The following is a 13,418-nucleotide window of genomic DNA, read 5'->3' as shown; positions in this document are numbered from 1 at the left end:
GAGCCACCATGCCCAGCTAATTTTTGTATTTTTAGTAGAGACAGGGTTTCACTATGTTGGCCAGGCTGGTCTGGAACTCCTGACCTCAGGTGATCCACCTGCCTTGACCTCCCGAAGTGTTGGGATTACAGGTGTGAGACACCGTGCCTGGCCAGGAGGCATCTTAAGAACCTGCTGGGCGGGGTGAAGCTTGAAATATTTCCTGAGGAAAATCCACTGACTAGATCATCAAGAACTGGCTCCCAGCCAGGCGAGGTGGCTCATGCCTATAATCCCAGCACTTTGGGAGCCTGAGGTGGGTGGATCACCTGAGGTCAGGAGTTCAAGGCCAGACTGACCAACATGGAGAAGCCCAGTCTCAACTTAAAAAAAAAAAAAAATTAGCCGGGTGTGGTGGCGCATGTCTGTAATCTCAGCTACTCTGGAGGCTGAGGCAGGAGAATTGCTTGAGCCCAGGAAGTGGAGGTTGCGGTGAGCCAAGATCGCGCCATTGCACTCCAGCCAGAGCAATGAGTGAAACTGTCTTAAAAAAAAAAACAAAACAAAACAAAACAAAAAAAACTGGCTCCCATCCTGCCAAGTCTCTTCAATCCTCCATTCAATCTCACTAAGTCACATGGAGGTCAAAATAAGGTGAGAAGATGTAAATCTATACATTACCATAAACGATGAGAAAAATCCTACTATTTAGCAAGGAAGTAGTTTTTGGGGGAAATTAAGAAAATACTGCTTTTAAGATAAAAATAGTTTGAACCTCCTATTCTGTAAGTCTAAATTATGGTAAGCATTTTTACCCAGAAGGCCTTAAGATTCTTGAGTAACTCATCACTGCTTACTTATATTTTTCAGTGGTGTGACAAAAGAGACCTGGTGGCCTCCCTTCATAGGAATTTTCCCAATCTGGTCCTCCTGTGATTCTCTAGGGGGTGGGCTGGGGAGGTGGCAAAGTCTCCTGGGAGGTATGGCAGAATTAACTGGCGCTTTCCCACATCACATCCTGTCTATGTTACCACTACACTCTAACATGAGAATCCTGGACTCCCTCCACCTCTCCCAACTTGAGAAACTACAGTTCCTGTGGGAGAACGTCCTCTCTCTCAGGTGGGTGGGGTCAGGAGAACTTGAAAGCTGAGAACTACTGCTTTATGCCAACCAGTGGTGATGAAGTAAATATCATAAAAGTGAACCTCACTCCAATACCCGTTGAGATGGGACTGAACTCACACAGGCCATCTCCAAAAAGATTTAAATACTAAGACTCCAAAATGGCTAAAGATAATTGAACTTAAACATTGTGAGTCACAAAGCCAGCATTATAGTAAAGTTCCACTATGTTGTTAAGTCCATTAGTCATAAATAGAAAACTCCAGTTTTACAAAGTGATTAATTTACATTTGCATGCTCAGTCAGATTTTTTAAATTGCACTTAGAAAAATCTATACTTATGTTACCTTCAAAGAAAGGACAATTTAGAATATCTCAAAATAGCCCAGAGGAAAATAACTCATGGTCAAGATGAATCTTACTATCCCAGGTGAGAGCCGCAAGGGCAGCTAAGATATTCTGAAGCCTGAGATCTAGAATAAAATTAATCATCATCTCTCTTCATAAAGTAGAAGGAATAAGTTGAAGAGCAGGCAACAAGTCTGGTAGAAATAGCAATGCAATTAAGGACACAAGTAATCTAAGCAGCATTCTTGCATATTTAGTTATTGTTATCATATTGACAGTTTTGTGCATGTTGATTAAATTTGTATCCAAATGAGGACAAGGAGATTTTAAAATAGAAATACATGTTCATTACAAAGAGTGAGAGGTCACAGAGAAAAATGAACTTTAGCTTCTGAACAATTAATTGATCAAAATAATTAGGATTTCTACTAGAGCTGGTGCTGAGAAGTGGCTTCATAGTACACGACTAGATGCCCCGACTTCCCCTGCAGAACAGGCCAGCCCTGTTGACCTTGATGAGTCAGAGTGGTCAGGTGCTGCCATATGGCCCCAGGCAGGTCAGGCCCACAGCTGATGCTCAGGCCTCCATTCTGCAATGTGTTGATCCTCTCCCCCTCCAACTAGTTCTGTTTCTCCTACTTTACTTTGGTCTATTTCTGTCTTTTAGCCAACACATTAAACCTGGCAAGTACCTGGCAAGCTTTCACACCATCCTGTCAGAGAGGGGGTAGTGAAAGAAATTCTTCTTCTCTGTTGGATCATGCAACATTTAGCAGAATACAAGCTCACACCAAAGGGCCCTAACAGAGCTGTCTCTAGTGTCTCTTGCAGTTCACAGAGCTACAGCTCACATGAAGCCTCTAGACAGTGCCAATAGGTTAGACAGAACAATATGCGTGGAAACAAAAGCATCTGAGTGCCCCTCCAACAGGCAAGAGGCACTCAGGACAGGGATAGAGAGAGAGGAGGAGAAACTTACATGTAAAGGGTTCCACTTCCCAGCCTTCCAGGGTAGCAGAAGGAAGAGAACAAACAAGTAAGAAAATGTCACAGAGAATGATCTGGAAAAGTCTCTGCTCTACACACAGGGTTGGGGCTGAGGCTTAGGAAGCTTTATTCGAATCAACCTCAAGTCCACTTTTAACCAAAAAGATTTAACTAAATCTTGTTGGAAGTCATGAACAGATTTGTTTTTCAGTTTGAAAGAAAGGTTTGTTTAAACCGGCATACAGCACCAAGCGACCCTTCTCATAAAAGGAAAGAAGTGATTAAATTTCTGTTCAGTATAAATATAATCAGAGGAGGTCCAAGGTTGACAGGAAGAGGGAGAGCGAACACAACAAATAATATATTATTAAGTCTAAAATTACAAATGCATATCATTGGGTGCCATCGCCAGCAAAGGAACACTGAAGACTTAAAAAATGAACTAGAAAAGGAAATGACTCAATTTTTGCTCAATTCTGAAGAAATACTACCAATTTTGATGAAATATGGAATAGTAAATAGTTGATCCAGAGAAATTACAAAAACAAAATTTTTTAAGACATATTGGAAAAAGTGAGTTGTAGCTTACCTTGCCTCTTGAAACAGCTTTGCAAGCTATTTTCACAATCAAGTAAGACCAGAAGCAGTTCAACCCTTGTACTAGCAATAGCAGTAGGTTAAAAACCCACCAGGAAGGGTAAGGTCCAACGATCTCCCAGCTTTCAAATAATGTGGTATTTAACACCCTAAGGAAAAGAAGGAGGTGATTAGTGAATGTGGCATTTTCCTTTGCTTTCCAAGGAACTCTAGTCACTGCATTAAAGCACAAGGTCAACAATATCTCCCAACTACCCCCTCTCTGGCAGGATGGTGTGAAAGCTTGCCAGGTACTTAGAAATGTCATTTCCTGAAGAATTACCCTGATGGTGTGACTTTCATTTGGTTTTAGGTTAATTAATATATTTTTCCCTATTCACTTCTTTAAAAATGATAAAATAAATATAACATAAAATTTACCATCTTGACTTTTTTAAGTGTACGGTTCACTGGCTTTAAGTACATTCACATTGTTGTGTAACCATCACTGCCATACATGCTCAGCACACTTTTCATCTTTCAAAACCAAGATTCGGCACCCATTCTTCCAGCCTGCATCAACCACCATTCTCCTTCCTGTCTCTGTGAATTTGACTACTTTAGGCACCGCATAAAAGTAGATTCATATAGTATTTGTCCTTTTGTGACAGGCTTGTTTCATCTTCAAGGTTCATCCATGTTGTGGCATGTGTCAGAATTTCCTTCCTTTTTAAGGCTGAATTATAATACGTATAAGTCATATTTTATCCATTCATCCATTGAAAGGGAACTTGGGTTGCTTCTACCTTTTGGCCATTGCAAATAATGCTACTATGAACACGGGTCCACAAATATCGCTCTGAGTATGTATCTTTCGGGCATATACCCAGAAGTGGAATTGTTGGATCATATGTTTCCCCCTTCACTTTTGCCATCATTTCTTTCATTAATTTTCATTCATTTTTTGGTTGTGATTCATATCTACTTGTAAAAAGGCCTGTATGATCTTTGAAGTTGCTTTTGGGCTTTAAATAAGCGCGAAGAATGCCATTCAATGCCAATACACTGCAAAAAAAGAGATTAACTCCTAAACATTACTTAAGTACAAGCCATATGCCTAGCACAGGGAAAAACACAGTGGAAGTGAGAATATGAGTGAGACCTAGGCTTATATCTAGTAGGAGAGTCATTAGAGGGTCCTTAATTTTGTAAGGCTTCCCCTGGAAAAGCACTGATAATTGAAATACATCATTTTGATGATGCCTTGAAATGAGTATTGGAAGGATTTTTGACAAAAATGATTACAGAACAATGAATGCAGTCTGGGTGCCGTGGCTCATGCCTGTAATCCCAGCACTTTGGGAGGCCGAGGTGGGCGGATCACGAGGTCAGGAGATTGAGACCATCCTGGCTAACATGGTGCAACGCCGTCTCTATTAAAAATACAAAAAATTAGCCGGGTGTGGTGGCGGGCACCTGTAGTCCCAGCTACTAGGGAGGCTGAGGCAGGAGAATGGTGTGAACCTGGGAGGTGGGGCTTGCAGTGAGCAGAGATCGTGCCACTGCACTCCAGCCTGGGCAACAGAGCAAGACTCCATCTCAAAAATAAAAAATAAAAAAAATAGAGAACAATGAATGTATTTAGTTTTAAGAGTACGTAAGAGTATGTATTTGAATTAGGAAAAATTATTTGAGGTAACTGGTTCTCTCTGTAATCTACCATCAGAACTAGAATGGAACAGCCACCTGGAGTAGATACATAAAAGGCTGGTTTTAGTGCTTTGCTCTGGTCCCTGCCTGTGTCTGCTCTTAAGCACTTGGAAATTGACTCATGTCATCTGGACTCATACTGCTGCCACAGAGAAGCACAGCACCTGCATAATTTTGGAATCATTCTTACTCTCTGCTCTCCTCCTCAGCTTACCCCAGGGATGGTTTGGAGACACACAAGAAAACTCACCTAAGTGCATTTCTACCGCCTGCCACTGCAGCACTTTGCTGGGACAATCTGATTCTACAGGAGAGGCTAGGTGGATAACACTTACTGGCTAAAGGGAAGGGAGAGAAAACTCTCGAATTTAAGACACAGACCACTCATATAAAAACATAAGACAAATAGATAATTTAAATAAAATAAATTGTGATGAGAGCTTTAAGAGAGGTTAGAAAAGTACTTTGTGAATTAGAAAAGAAAAAAACAGGCCAGGCACGATGGCTCACGCCTGTAATCCCAGCACTTTGGGAGGCTGAGATGGGTGGATCACCTGAGGTCAGGAGTTCAAGATCAGCCTGGCCAAGATGCTGAAACCCTGTCTCTACTAAAAATACAAAAAAAATAAAAAATAAAAAATCAGCCGAGTGTGCTGGTGTGTGCCTGTTGTAGTCCCAGCTACTCAGGAGGCTACAGCAGGAGAATTGCTTGAACCCAGTAGGCAGAGGTTGCAGTGAGCCAAGATCGTACCACTACACTCCAGCTGGGGTGATACAGTGAGACTCTGTCTCAAAAAAAAAAAAAAAAAAAGAGAGAGAGAGAGAGAAACAATTATTGCAGCTGGAATAAGAGATAAAGAAAAAAGAAAAAAGGAGAGGCTAGGCACTGCCTCACTCCTGTAATCCCAGCACTTTGGGGGGGCTGAGGTAGGAGGATTGCTTGAGCCCAGGAGTTTGAAACCAGCCCAGGCAACAGAGTGAGACCCTATCTCCATATAAATAAAATAAAAATTAACCATGTATGGTGGCACATGCCTGCAGTTCCAGCTGCTCAAAAGGCTGAGGCAGGAGGATCACTTGAGCAGGAGTTGCAGGTTACAGTGAAGCTATGATTGTGCCACTGCACTCCAGCCTGGGCGACAAGAGTGAGAGACCTTGTCTCAAAAAAATAAAGGAAAAAGGACAATGAAAAATAAAATAGACAAATAGGTTCTTCCCCACCCCCGATTTCTGCAACTCCTATTTATAGACTAGAATGAGACTAACAGTTTGTCTTCAACCCTGCCATAGTAGTTGTCTTTAAAGAGTAATACATAATACACATATGTTAAAATTCTAAAAACAATAGGATAGAGTTTAATGATTTGAATTTTACAAGTCATTAAAAGAATAATACCTCATGAAATAGTTGTATTCACTCTGGGGAAGGGGGAAAATATTAGGAAATCTATTAATATATTATATACATAGGCCAAATTGGTATAAATGGAATGATTTCAACAGCATCAAAGACATTTGGTAATGTTTAATTCCTCATTATTGATGTTTAACAATTAGAATACAAAGGACTTAGTATGATTTTTGTAACCCTTTCAAATCAGCATATTAATAAACACCAGAGTTACTTCCTTTAAAATCAGGAAAACCACGGAAAGCCAGTATAACCATTATTATTTAACACTATTCTGGAAGCTCCAGCCATTGAGCATGGCAGGGAGTCAGAGACTTAATTTCAAATACATAGACATAAAATATCTATAAGTATTTTAAAAACAGCAAACAACCAAAATGTCCCATAACAGGAAACATTAAAAATTAAAAAATTAGTTTTCATTCTTATTCCAGAAACTATTTTTTTTTGCATTTTAAAAATTTATTTACTATAATTTAAGTTCTGGGATACATATGCAGAATGTGCAGGTTTGTAACACAGGTATACATGTGCCATGGTGGTTTGCTGCACTCATTCACCCGTCATCCAGGTTTTAAGCCCCACATGTACTAGGTATTTGTCCTAATGCTCTCCTTCCTTTGCCCCTGACCCCCTGACAGGCCCCAGTGTGTGATGTTCCCCTCCCTGTGTCCCTGTGTTCTCATTGTTCAACTCCCACTTATGAGTGAGAACATGTGGTGCTTGGTTTTCCAGAAATTATTAATAAATATTTATTAATAAATACAAGTAATTTGTAAAAATGACTAAATTAGGATAATGCCTATATTCCTGCCTTGTTTATTATCCGAAGAAGCAGTTATCTCTTTAAACATCAGTTTGCAGGCCAGGGGGACAACAAGGCTCAACTCTGTGGTGGTGTGGGAGGACTCACACACCTTACACTTTTCTATCTCCAGCACCCTGCAAGACACCTGGAAGTAACATGCTGGCTAGACACGTTTGTTGATTGACCACGTGTTTGCTAATCCAACAATCCAATAAATATGAAGAAGAAAGCTCTGGAATAATAAGAATAATTTTATTTCAAAACTAGCTCTGCTTCTTGACATACTACACATATTGATATTCAGAGAAACTTTAGTTCCCTTTGAACAGAAAGAGGTTCTGTGTAAATAGCAACAATGACTGCATTATGCCATTCATTATAAGTTAACCTTTGCTGGATTATAGACTGAGAAGCTTTCTCGCCATTGTGATGCTAGGACTGATGCTACCGCTTGGCTTAATTTGAACAGGATGTCAGAACAGTCGTTGGCGACATGGCATTCACATTAATTTCTGAAACACTGCATCAGGATTTATAGGCTTTGCCATGACAATCAGTGGCACCTCTGATTACTTTTGAGATGCTGCTCAAAAGTAATGGGATTTTCTTTGAAAATCGACTTGGCTTCCTGTAGAGACACTTGAGAAAATACAATCAGTGCACCAAACGGATATATCTCTCAGTGAGAAGCATGGTAAGAAAAACAATATAGTAGGAATTTATACTAGGGAACAGAGAGAACATATGACACCTGGACTCTAATAAACAGTAAACCCGGCCGGGCGCGGTGGCTCACGCCTATAATCCCAGCACTTTGGGAGGCCGAGGCGGGCGGATCACGAGGTCAGGAGATCGAGACCATCCTGGCTAACACAGTGAAACCCCGTCTCTACTAAAAACACACAAAAAATTAGCCGGGCGTGGTGGCGGGCGCCTGTAGTCCCAGCTACGCGGGAGGCTGAGGCAGGAGAATGGCGTGAACCCGGGAGGCGGAGCTTGCAGTGAGCCGAGATCGCGCCACTGCACTCCAGCCTGGGCGACAGAGCAAGACTCCGTCTCAAAAAAATAAATAAATAAATAAATAAATAAATAAACAAACAGTAAACCCAGGAAAGAGCCTTTGTTTGGCCCAAGAATGTTACAATTGAGGAAACTGTTCTTTTTTTGGGCAAACTATTAAAATGGTGACTATAGAATCTTATTTCTGGGAGGTACTTCAGGAGTATGTACTTTAATGATGCCATCATGAACCTATGGTGACAGAGTTCAGGACAGTGGTTGTGATAGTTAATACTGAGTGTCAACTTGATTGGATTGAAGGATGCAAAGTATTTATCCTGGGTCTGTGAGGGTATTGCCAAAGGAGATTAACATTTGACAGCGGGCTGAGGAAGGCTGACCCACCCTTAATCTGGTGGGCACAATCTAATCAGCTGCCGGCAAATATAAAGCAGGCAGAAACATGGGAAACGCGAGACTGGCCTAGTCTCCCAGCCCACATCTTTCTCCCGTGCTGGATGCTTCTTGTCCTCAAACATCAGACTCCGAGTTCTTCAGTTTTGAGACTCGGACTGGCTCTCCTTGCTCCTCAAGCTTGCAGCCAGCCTACTGTGGGACCTTGTGATCGTGTAAGTTAATACTTAATAAACTCCTGTATATACCTCCTATTAGTTCTGTCTCTCTAGGGAATCCTGACTAATACAGTGGTTGTCTTTGAGGGAGGACTGACTGGGGTTGGGGGGATCTGAGGGAGGCTGGACACTTCTGTATCTTGATCTGGGTGATGATCACGTGGGTTATACATACATACAAATTTATCGAGCCATATACTAAAGATTTTTTGCACTATATTGTATATAGGAATTATACGCCAATAAAATAAAATGGAAGACAGTACCCTGTGGGCCAAACAAAACACATATGTACAAAAAAAAACACACACAACGTACAGCTTTTGGCTTTAATAATTACTATAATATCAGGGTTCTCCTTAGATGCTTAGATGCAAAGGGGTATGGCCTTAAGTATCTTATTTAAGACTACTTTGTTTTTGCTTCACAAAAACAGTTGTAAACTGTTCTGCATAAATGTGTTTATCCCCCACACACATAATAAAGAACTGTATAATAGTTCTATGATAATCAAAGTTAAGATAAAGAACCCATAAAAGGTAAGAATGAGCTAAAGTAAGTACAGGGCATGGCCAAATTAAATCTTATGATTCATTAAAATCACCCACCAAGGCTAAGCAATTGGGGTGGTCACAGATGAATTTGTATTCAACCTATGGCTTCTAAGAAAATAAATTCTTTTCTTTCCAAATAATAGCATCGAACCTCTACTGTTGTCTAATGGAGAGTATAGAGGCAGAAGGGACCTGAGACCATTTTTCTTTTCATTCATGTTAGGCTCACTTAACCACTAGATGGCATATCATGCATGAACAGTACATACTCACGCGGGTTTGTTCTGCCCAAACCTTTTGCCAAGGGTGAGTCCCAGTACAGAAAACACTTGATCTACAGGTTATACCCCTCATTCTAAAAATCCCATCAAATGAATGGGCATCCCATCAAATGAATGAAGAGGCATCAGTCTGACCTTTTTTCATCCTGCATTTGACAGAAATGCACCTACAGGGCAAAGCTGTGCTCCATGCATTTCACTGCTGATGCCCTGATACACCTGTGACCACCCCAATATCTTAGCCTTGGTGGGTGATTTTAATGAATCTAAGATTTAATTTGGCCATGCCCTGTAGTTACTTCAGCTCATTCTTATCTTTTATGGGTTCTTCATCTTAACTTTGATCATCATAGACATAAGGGATATGTGTGTGTGGGATGCATACATTCATGCAGAACAGTTCACAATCTTTTTTTTTGTGAGGCAAACACAAGGGAGTCTTAAAGAAGATACTTAAGGCCGTACCGATTCGCATTCTAAGCATCACTGTGACTTAAAGCATTATGCTTTACCCTGCAACCTGAGGACTGCAGTCTCATAATGTCACAGAGCGCAGTGTAAAAAGACCTTCACTGGCATCTTACTCCAAAAAACCTACCTCCAATGCTCAATTTCCCCATTCTCATGCGACTTCCAAGTAAGAGTTTAAATCCATTCTCCGTAATATGTAAAATTAGATGAACATTCTTTCAGACCTGTACATCTTAAATACTCCAGTGACATATAGGCAGCAGCACATAATGGTAATAAGACGATAACAATGGCCCAGGTGATCTTACCGTATGAATGGGTTACAGGTGCATGTTTTTGATGATACCATGGCCCTTGGCCATGTCAAGTAACCGCAAATTTGCCTCCGCCGCTCCTCCCCTACCTTAACCAAAGAGTTCTATCTGAGCCTTGGGTTGTATGTTTTTGGAATGATCTCTAAAAAAACCCACAATAATAATTAGACCCAAGTCAAATATCCAGAGCCAAGATTTCTTCTCTAAGGAACAGAGTCAGGGCTTCACTTTAAGGAGTGCTACAGAATGTCAGTGACGATACCTTGAAAAGTAAAATGAACTTTGTGGTCAAAATTAGGGTGTGGTTTACTTCAGAGCTTTTGAATGGTCTTGACTTTGCTTTCCCAGACAGACCTCAGTGTATTTCATGATGTGCGTTTCTCTGGCATGGATGTTCATTTGACCTACACAAAACATAAATGAAAGTAGATTCTACCTAAGATGACTAATCTGCTAGCACGTTTTGTCCATTTTAAAGTAGATGCTGATAGAAATGCATTTAAAATTCACTCCGAACAAAAAAAGTGGGCATTTAAAACCTGAAAGTCGGGTAATTAAGTCATGATTACAAGCAACCCTCGTTGTGCTGGTTTTCCTAAGGTAATAAAAGCTCCAGGCTTAAATAACATCTTGGTCAACATCAAGGCTATTACAAGGCTGAGAACGATGTTTCCAATTTCCTTCCTTTTAACAAGACTGCACCCCGGCTGTAGCTTACATTCTCCACAATACTGGTGTTGATATCAAGTTCCCAGTTTTGGGAGGACAGCTTCTGGGTAGCTTGCGGCATGGGTGCCTAATTATTAGTCACTAATCTATTAATCTGTAGCAAACATGGAAGTTACTATTTTCTTAATTTTTTTGTAGAGACAGGGTCTCACTAAGTTGCCCAGGCTGGTCTTGCACTCCTGAGCTCAAGTGATTCTCCCACCTTGGCCTCCTAAAGTGTTGGGATTACAGGCATGAGCCACCATGCCTGGCCAGAAGTCATTTCTTTATCCCTGGACAGGAATCTGAACTTGAACATGGACAAATAATCTCTCTTTCATTTAGCAGTGCACGTTATAGTTCTATCTGTATTCTTAGCCAACAGGACATGGGGCCAGTGAATTTATTTTTACTTTTAGGTCATAGCCAGGCCAGACTTAGGAACTGGTCTCTTATCACAGGAAGTTTGTAATTGGTGACTTCCTGGCTGGGGCAGATGTTTTTTTTTTTTTTTTTCCTCCAAAAGTAGTTGCTGCCCTATTTGCTGTATGTCTGCCTGCATTCTTAATTCTGCCACTGCCTGGTCTACTTACCTACGCTCCTGACCTCCCAATCTGAGTCCTTCCAGGCAAGGCTGTGTCCTTCGGGATGTATCCTGATTCCAACATGCTTGTTTTCAGCCCTCTAGTTAGCTCTTTGTTGCCTATGTGTACATAAGAGAGACTTTTGCTTGGTTCTCTATAACGTCTCTTCCTTGAGTAATTACTACGTGTTAAGCACTGTGCCAAATATGTTACATATATTGCTTCATTTTGCCCATTCAACATCTCTGTAAGATCCTCATATAGCAACATTAATACTAGTTAATACTTATTGAACATTAACTATGTGTTAGGAACTGCGCTTAGGTTTTGTATGTTAACTCATTTAATTCTCATGAAATAAAGCCTATGGGATAACTTCTATTTCTTTTTTTTCCACAGTGTGTCCTGTTATTATCCCTATTTTTCATATGAGGACATGGAAGCACAGGGATGTAAATAACATTCCCCAAGTCAGATCGCGTTGGTGGGGGACACTGAGACTTGAAGCTACCTGTCTGCTGGTCTAGGCTGTCAGGCTCTCCCATCCCTTTCTCCGTTCTTCACCCAGGCTTATGCTCAGAGCCGATCCGTCCCCACATTATGATGGAGGACACACATCAATATCTCTGTTCAGCATTTCTGCAGATCTTTCCCTTTGGCCTGTAATTCCCTGCAATGTGTTATCCCTTGGGCTCATAAGCTGGTTTCTGGTAGCCATATGCCAGGCCCTGCCTGCTTAAATAACCCATTTGGTTTTATTTATGTGGTTTCCCCACTTTGGCCCACCCCACTTGACCCTTAAATCCCAACAGAATTGTCTCCATTACTGAAAATTATATAATTCCTTTCATTACTACTTTGTCATGTACACAAAATATTCAAGACACAAAACCAAAGATCTTTTTAAATTCAACTGGGAAATGGGAGTGCCAGCCCTGTGCCCTTTTCTTTGCTTTTCTCTTTGAAAGGACTGAGGCAGATGTGTATCTCTAAATATCCCCTACTTTAAGAAAAGGATAGATAAGGCTGACTCCTGCTAGGCAGGTAGAAACCTAAGAAAGACTGAGATTCCAGGGACTTACTTTTCCAGTTTTCTAAAAGAGTATAAAACCAGCCTCCCATCCTCATAGAGGCAGGATGGCAGAAATGGCTCTGAAACCTCCCTACATTTGTGTGCTCCTCCCTGAAGGGCTAGGTTTGCTCATTTCCATTGTAGGATCACTCCTAGCAAGGCCAATGGCAGGCCAAGTGCTCCTGGGCCCAAGTGGGGAATGCTGTCAGATTACCATGGGCTTCCTTACCTTTTTCTCCTTTTCCCCTTCCCTTAGAGATTTCAATGGTATGTTTTGCAGAGGTGAGAAAAACAGAGACCAAACACATACCAATGTGAGGCTCTGGTTGTGAGATTGTTTTAGCTTCAAAGTTTCTGGGTCTAATCAATTAACTCAGTTAAAGTAGAAAATCTTGGTCATTCTGATAATTCACTGAACTCATCTCTGAGGGACTCCACTGACAAGTAGAGAGGGAATTGCTAGCTGCCTGGCAGAAGGAGCCTGTTTACAGGATGGCTATTTACAGCAGAAACACAGAAAGGCTGCTATAGTTACCTGCTTCTTGGGAATAGCTTCCATTTTGGCTTCCTATTTGGGTAGTTGCTGAGGCTGGGACAATTTGTATTTTCTCATTTTAACAATTTAAATAGCAACCTATGGGTGGGATAGGTTCTTAAGCCAGAGGGGCCTGCAGTGGGGTGGGGGCATGGTTATTGCACTGATCACAGCCCACAGGAGTGATGTGGTTTTGCACATTCCCTAGAGAAGGAAATGAGGCACACAGTATCCATCTTTATGCCTCCATGCTGAGAGTCACACACATGGAGATTTAAAATGAGGATCCCTAGAGATGACTAGAAAGCATGAGTAAAATATGTT

The 13,418-nt window shown here is 41.1% G+C and overlaps 1 protein-coding gene across 4 annotated transcripts in view; it reads right to left on the bottom strand.

The window, feature by feature from the left end:
* Positions 1-13,418, bottom strand: part of CERS6 (ceramide synthase 6) — a 318,863-nt gene that overhangs the window by 6,358 nt on the left and 299,087 nt on the right. For 3 of the 4 annotated variants that reach the window (NM_001256126.2, XM_005246440.6, XM_017003749.3), the window contains 2 exons: positions 3,029-3,185; positions 2,432-2,455 (listed from right to left, as the gene is read on the bottom strand). In NM_001256126.2, the coding sequence (NP_001243055.1) occupies positions 2,432-2,455; positions 3,029-3,185 (181 nt within the window). The remainder of the gene's footprint in view (positions 1-2,431; positions 2,456-3,028; positions 3,186-13,418) is intronic. The other variant, NM_203463.3, reaches the window with a different exon arrangement.

The sequence above is a fragment of the Homo sapiens genome, chromosome 2, assembly GCF_000001405.40.
Source record: "Homo sapiens chromosome 2, GRCh38.p14 Primary Assembly".
Taxonomy (NCBI): domain Eukaryota; kingdom Metazoa; phylum Chordata; class Mammalia; order Primates; family Hominidae; genus Homo; species Homo sapiens.
The sequence above is the reverse complement of the archived record's forward strand: the minus strand, read 5'-3'. Positions and strand labels throughout refer to the sequence as shown.